Below are 7,877 nucleotides of genomic sequence, written 5' to 3'. Positions count from 1 at the left end.
TTTAAGTAACTCGATTTAGGTCACTCAGCAATTAGCCAGGCCAGACATATACCCAGGCTGAAGGATGGCCAAGCTCATTAAGTCAGGCAGCTAGAATTGAGACCAGTGGTGAAATAGAATGAGAGCATTGATATGAACGTGGTTTATACACTTTTAAGGGCTACGAAGATCATTCCAGAGGAATGAAGGAACAAGGAGAGAATTGTGTCAACAAAGACTGGCACATGGCAGGATTCCACTCACTTTCCACAAACTTTGAAGGAAGAAGTAGCTAATTGAATCTGAAGTTTCATTCACTAGAAACTAATAGAGAATTTACAATAATTTATCCTGGATGGAAAGTAAGATCCATCATGTACATGTTAGACAAGAGAAGCATTTGATCCCTTATCTTCCTAGTTAACATTCATCTTGAACACTGATTATGTGATAGTCTTCCTAAAACAAATAGCAAGGGGGATGGGGTTGGGGAGCACACAGATAACAAAAAAGTTTTGATGAGCTTTATGGAGACAGGAGATAATTTGTTGATATAAAAATACACCTGTAATCCCAGCACTTGGGGAGGCTGAGGCGGGCGGATCACTTGAGGTCAGGAGTTTGAGACCAGCCTGGCCAACATGGTAAAACCCTGTCTCTACTAAAAATACAAAAATTAGCTTGGCGTGGTAGTGTGTGCTTGTAGTCCCAGCTACTCGTGAGGCTGAAGCAGGTAAATCGCTTGAACCAGTGAGGCAGAGGTTGCAGTGAGCTGAGATCACACCACTGCACTCCAGCCTGGGCGACAGAGCGAGACTCTGTCTCAAAAAAAAAAAAAAAAGAGACGCTTTTGCATGTACTTCCTTTCCACCACCATCTGTCACCTAGGAAAACCTCTACAATCACAAAGCTTATCTGAAAATCTGACTATATTCAGGCAAGATTCAAACCAAGAGAAGTCAAACCTAGAGACACGCGGTTATGAACTATAAACTGTTCATAAGGCCCTGGGGTTTTTCGGACCACTTGTGCCCTAACCAGCCTGTGGGCTCCCATGTTCATTATCCTCCCAAGTGTTAAGGCACAAGGTATCAGGCATCAGGCAGTTTTTGTATTAGGAAGACTATCACATAATCAGTGTTAAAGATCAATGTTAACTAGGAAGATAAGGGATCAAATGCTTCTCTTGTTTAACATATACACGATGGATCTTACTTTCCATCCAGGAGAAGTTATTGTAAATTCTCTATATTAGTTTCTAGTGAATGAAACTTCAGATTCAATTAGCTACTTCTTCCTTCGAAGTTTGTGGAAAGTGAGTGGAATCCTGCCATGTGCCAGACTTTGTTGACACAATTCTCTCTTTGTTCCTGCATTCCTTTGGAATAATCTTCATAGTCCTTAAAAGTTTGTAAACCATGTTCATATCAATGCTCTCATTCTATTTCACCACTGATCTCAATTCAGGCAGTTTTTGTTGCACAAAACCTCAGAAACTAAAACAACGAACATTATTTGGCACATGTCTGCAGAGCCCAGCACTGCTCTACAGTGGGCTTGACTGGACAGCTCTGCTGATCTCGGCTGGGAGCACTGAGGCATCTGGGGCTTGGCTATCGCTTGGCCAGTCTAGGCCAGCCTTGGCTGCAGTGACTCAGCTCTGCTCCGGGTGTCTCTCACCCACCTCTGGAATCAGCGGGCTACCTCAGTCATGTCATTCTCACGACGATGGAAGCAGTGCAAGAGGAAAAGTGAAACATGCAGGAGCTCTTGAGGCCTAGTCTCCAGACTGGCACACCATCTTGTCTGCCTTATTCCACTGACCAACATAAACCACCAACTTGAGCCCAGAGTCTGGGTATGAAAGAGCTGCACAGATGCATGGCAATGGACATGAATATAGTGAGGGTGAAGATGGGGACCGTTACCGGCTCCAGTCACACCTAGTCTGCAAAAGACTTGGCTCACTGGTTGGGCCCAAGAGGTTCCCTGAGGACAATGACTGTATCTATTTATGTTATTTCATCTTTTCAATCACTTTGCAAAACAATATCATGACTCCAACTTATAAAAGAGGATATCAAGTTTCCAAAACATGAAGAAATAAACTACTTAAAATCATCTGTCCCTTCACATTGGATAGCCCTTGAAATTGAACTCCAGCACCATTATCAGTTGCTAAAGTTCCCGAACCATTCCAGGGAGGGACCTTCTTAATGGTCCAAATCTCAGCCAGGCATTATTCTTGTGATTTCAGGGAGTGCGCGGCTCTGGGCTGAGGCCATTGAGACTTGTATTTGATGGAGAACCAGGCTTTAAGGAGAAGGAAACAGTATTTTGAATACAAGGCGCTGCTCTTATCTTCTATCAATAGATAAAGTTTTGGGATATGCACCTTCCACTAAGGCTCACAAAAGGATTGGCAGCATTTTGAAAGGGCAAAACAAGTTTTTCTTTCTTTTCCCTCTCTTTTAGGGTGAAGTAGTTGCATTGATGGCCACTCTTGGCTTCCTACAGTGAAGTCACCTCAGACTTTGGGGGTTTTTCTACAGAGGTGGAGGTCAGGATGGGTCCTGGGAGGTGGGAGGGGGTGCTGTGTCCAGCTCCCCAGCAGATGTACTATTGTGGCTGCCCTGGGGAAAGGCTGAGAACCTATGGGGAGGGTTGAGAAAAAATTTCCAGGAGCTTCATGGTGGCACCAGGCAGGAGGGAGTCCAGGGCCTTCCTCCACACATACTGTGCTTCTGCCTACAATCCACATCATACTCTACCCTGTGTGCATATCACATACTGAAGGAACCAAGCTTCAGTTCAGTTTGTTTCCAGCACCTTCATCTGCTAATGCCATGTTAGGCATGGGAGATACTAAGATGAACCATAAATGGTCCTTGCCTTTAAAGAGATTACAGGGTAGTGGGAACATCAGGAAAAAACAGAAAGGAAAAGAGAAATGCGATTGGGTGGCATAGACTGAATAGCCAAGGCAGCATGTAAGAGGCAGTAAGATCCTCTGGAATGATGACTTCGAAGCTAGGAGTTGAAGTACAAGTGGAAATTTACCAGACGGAATCTGGAAGAGAGACTTCCAAAGAAAGAGAAGATGCTGACTCAGTCTTGGCTATTAAAATGTCCATATTCCAAAAGCATGAGTATTGAATTCAGATGGCTGTCTAGAATCCTCCAACATACTGGACTCATCCAGGACTCTCTGAGCCTTAGTTGCTTCATCTGTGAAATGGGAATAATCTTAGGTACCTGACAGCAGTGTGCTGACAACTAAATGAAATACAGTTTGTGAAAACATTTTATAGGCTATAAAGTGTAACCTCTGCAGATGTTCATTGCTCTTATCATTGTTAGTGCTATTACTATTCATCATTAATTTGGGGCTTAGTTGGAAACTATGGATTCAGAGACAGATAAAGCAGATCACCCTGCCCTCAAGGTGATCACAGTCTAATAATAATGTCACATTATTGTAGGGCTTATTGTATGCATGTCCTGTTCCCAGCACTCTATGGCTATTACCTCATTTCATCCTCATGCCCACCTGAGAAGCAGGTGCTATGGTCATCTTCATTTTTCAGTTGGAGGAAACAGGGACACAGAGGGGTTAAGGAACTTGTAGAAGGCCACTCAGCTGATGGGTGGTAGTGCCTAGATGTGAACCCAGACATGGTGGCTCCAGAGAATGCACCTTCACCACTACCCCACACAAGTAGACAGTCAGCTAAGAGACAACCACAATATGATGTCATAAATGTTGTGAGCCTGTTACAATGCAGTAAATGTGCCCGATGTCCTGGGATAATAAGGGGGTATATGTTGAGTGAGGGGGTGGGGGAGTTGTCAGCAAAGTCTTCTTAGAGGAGATGGTCCCTGAACTGAGGTCTGGCTAAAAGGTGGAGCAAATTGTGCCCTGCAAGAAGAGCAATATGAGCAAAGCCCCCAGAACTGAGAGCAGAACTGCTGTCCTCAGTGTGGGAGGGACAGAGAGAAGGGGCAGGGTATGGCTGAAGATGTGGCAGGAGCCAGGTCCTGAAGGGCTGGGGCACCATGCTAAGAAGCCCCAACTGTCTTCTGAGGGCAGCAGAGTGCAGAGGCGCACTGTGTGTGGAGGGGAACCCTGGGTGCCTCCCTCCTGCCTGGTCCCACCATGAAGCTCCTGAGCATTTTTTGTCAAGCCTTCCCATAGGTTCTCAGCCTTTCCCCATGGTGGTCCCGTAACACCTCTGCTGGGAAGCTAGACAAGCACATACCTCCCACCACCCAGTACCCATCCTGACCTCCACCTCTGTAGAAAAACACTCAGAAGACAGTTGGGGTTCTTTAGCATGTGTTGGAAGGCTCACTCCAACTACACTGTGGTTGACATACCAGGAGAGGGGATTATGGGCAATAGCTGGAGGCAGAGAGACAGTTCAAGTTCTGACACAAAAATCCAGCTGCTAGGACTGGTATCTGAAGGTGGAGTTGTGGCATAGGGGACGGAATGTTTGAGAACTGCTAAGATATAGCAATTGGTGAAAGAGAAAGAGGAATCAAGAGTGACTACTGAAGCCCAGTCAACATAACAAGACTTTGTCTCTACTAAATATAAAAATAAATTAGCCAGGATTCATGGCGCATGCCTGTAGTCCTAGCTACTCAGGAGGCTAAGGTGGGAGGATCATTTGAGCCCAGGAGGAAGAGGCTGCAACGAGCTATGATCGCACCACTGCACTCTAGCCTGGGTGACAGAGAGAGATCCTGTCTTAAACAAACAAAAAAAAAGAGGTCCCTGTTCTGGGTGACTGGGTGGGTCAGGATGGCAGGCAGCAGGATCCGAAGGTGAAGATCTGGGAAATGCTGACATTTAAGGGAGGGCCAAGGAGGCAGAGCCCAGGGAAATCTGACACAAGCAAGCAGAACAGAAAGAGGAAAACAAGCGAGGATCCTCCAAGAATTCAAAGGAAGTTGAAGGGTGACAAATTTAGGTTAGATACCAAGAATTTACTTCCAACAAGAGTCCTGAGTCCTTAACCTAGAGGAGCATTTTTCCTTGTGATAGAAAAAGTCTTTGTTTTTAGTCTTATTTTTTGTATTTGTCTTTGTCTTTCCAGACTTCACATTTCACTGCCTCACTCATTTAGTACTGATTAATTAATTTCTCAATATCTTTGTCTACTCATTACTGCTCTCTGCACACAGAGACATAACGGGATGGAGGAGGAGGTTCTGCTCATTGGTATTTGCAATGTGCTGAGACTGATGAATGAAACGCTAAACACACTGTCACCATCACCAATAATAGTAGCAACTGACTCAGCCCCCATTTATTGAGCATCTATTACATACAAGGTGTTCTGTTATGAGTTGCAAAAACATGGCCAATAAACAAGGTAGACATGATGACATTTCTCTTTTGCAGAGGGAGAAACTAAGCCTTGGAGAAGTTAAGTGAGCAGCTGAATATCACACAGCAAATAATAAATAACAATGGAACATATGCATATAGCCCTCAGGCAGCCCCCCAAAATTTTCACCAAAAGACTTCCTTGCCATCCTTGCTGATTTGTGAGCAGAGAATGAGTTATGTGTGGAACGCGGAGAGGGGGTGGGGGCGGAGCAAAGCAAAGAGGGATAAGAGGACCCAGGTTAGGGAATGACTGTTCTCAACCCCAATATTTGAAGTCATTAGCTGTGCCTTCACACACTTAGTACAGGCTCTTTCAGAAAACAATAAGCACCTGAATGGCTTTTCATGCTAGCCACAGGAGAAACTGAACATACTGATGCAAAAATTCTGGCCAGCTTTCCTTCAAGAACACAACTTATAAATCATTCATTCACTTAACAAATATTTACCAAGCACCTACTAGATTCAAGCATTGAACTGGGCCAGGGATACAAGGACAAACAACAAACCAACCAATCAGTGGGTGAGAAACAAGAGGGTGTCTTCTTGGGTTGTCTCTGAGGAGGGGACACTTGGAGAGTGAAAATGGTCAGCAGGGGAGGTGGAGGGCCCTTTGGACAGAGAGGCAGCTTGGCAAAGGTCTCTCTTCTCACACTGGGTTTGTACCACTCCTCACCTCTTTATCTTGCAAACTCCAACTTATCCCTTAAAACTCTGGGAAGGTTGGCCTGACCTCCAGGGCTAGTTTTGCAGGTTTCCTGTGGGCTTCTTGTGCATCTTGAGTGCAGTTCTGTAGTAACAGGTATTTGCAGGTGTCCCAGCCTGTCTATCCCTAAGTCTGAGCTCTCTGGAGGAAGGGGGCATATCTTCTGGCTCTATGTCTCCAGTTCGGGCTCAGAGTAGATCCTCGATAAACACAGTAGAATTGCTGCAGCATGCTGCAATACATGTCTAAGGATACATCAGGACCCTTTGGGTGGTCTTGGGCAATACTGCCCAGTTAACCACTTTGCAGTTCCTTTTTGAGGAAAGTAACGGAAAGATTGGAGGTCCAGGCTCTGCCAGAAGGACTTGAGCAAATCACTTAAGGTTTTGTTTTCCTCTTTTATCCAATGTGAGCGTTAGACCAACATTATGGGCCTGGGATGGTATGTGGTTTATCAGAACCCATGCGTAGGCTGTTTGCACAAGAACAAGTCCAAGTTAGCCTGAAGTTATTGCTACTTTTTGACATCGAGATTTTCTTTGCAATGGTCAATGGTAGGATTAATTACTGTGGCTGTTCCATGGGCACTCGAAACTAAAATATATTCCCTAACTTCAGGGCACATAGTATGACATCTATCCATCATATCTACGTTTGTGATTATGTCGCTTAGGTCTTTTTATATCTTTATTTTCAGTCAAATTGATTTGAGAGGATGTGCTGCTTTTTCGAAACTGAGATGTAGAGAGGCCGAGGAGGTGCCAGTTCCTGCGGGAAGGTAGAGTATGGAGAAATCACAGGGTCTGTAGATCATCTCCAATCAAACATCACTCTGGCTGTAAAGAAAGGCCCCTGCCCCAAAATTCAACAAGGTCTATATTTTCTCATTTTTATTGGTATTATTTGAAAGGAGGAAGAATCAACTTTTTATTCAATCAGGTAATTTTTTATTGTTTTCTATCTTTCCTATACATAAATTTTGTTTCCCAAATCAAGTTGGAAAACTCAGTCCTCCTTTTATATCTCCATGGTGGGTAGGACAAGGTCTACTCATGGCTTGGTGGGGGATTTTAAATGGTGATGTTGCTAATAATTACACCTAAGCACTTACTATGAGACAAGTTCTCTTCTAGATATTTTGTATGTTTTAGATTATTTAACTCTTACATCAATTTATAATGCCACCATTTTACAAATTAAAAAAAAAAAAAGCAAGGCACGTGGACGTAAAATAACTTGCGCAGGTTCAAACTGCTAGTGAGCAGCAGAGCCGGGGCCCCAGCCTGAGACACTGTGCTCTGTTGCCGCTTTTAGAGACCAACTCACCCACTGGCTTCACTACATGCGTGAAGAAACAGGAACTTGAGTCTGCTAAGCAAGCTGCCGGGAGAACTAAAACTAGACCCCTGGTATTTGGACCTTTATCCAGAGCCTTCCTGCTGTGCATCGCTGCCCCTCACAATGCACAGAAGCTGTATTTGTGGCAGCAAGAGGTTGTCATTTGCTGGATGACATGGGTTAATGGTTTAATAGCAACTCCTGCCTACCTCACCTCACAGGACTGCAGGGCCAGCACCATAGGAGAAATAAAGATGATGTAATCAAATATTATCTAAATAATGTATACTTTTTGAGTCCTGAATAAATCACCCAGCTGTGGAATACATTCATGTTTAATATTACTAGGATATATAAAATGATTTAGGACTGGGGGGATTGGAAGTAAAGAAAACTAAAATTCCACAAGGGCCAAATCCTTCTAGGTGGGAAGACTTGTATTTTTTATAAGCACCT

General features: G+C 44.2%; 1 annotated feature.

Annotated features, from left to right (window-relative positions):
- Window positions 909-988: an enhancer, noted in NCBI's record as "active region_16441". NCBI's record gives its function as "activates an Ori minimal core promoter by ATAC-STARR-seq in GM12878 lymphoblastoid cells {active_cell/tissue: GM12878}" and the evidence as "EXISTENCE:reporter gene assay evidence [ECO:0000049][PMID:35858748]".

Source organism: Homo sapiens, chromosome 2 (assembly GCF_000001405.40).
Source record: "Homo sapiens chromosome 2, GRCh38.p14 Primary Assembly".
In the NCBI taxonomy this organism is placed as follows: domain Eukaryota; kingdom Metazoa; phylum Chordata; class Mammalia; order Primates; family Hominidae; genus Homo; species Homo sapiens.
This window is presented reverse-complemented; position numbering and strand designations above follow the sequence as displayed.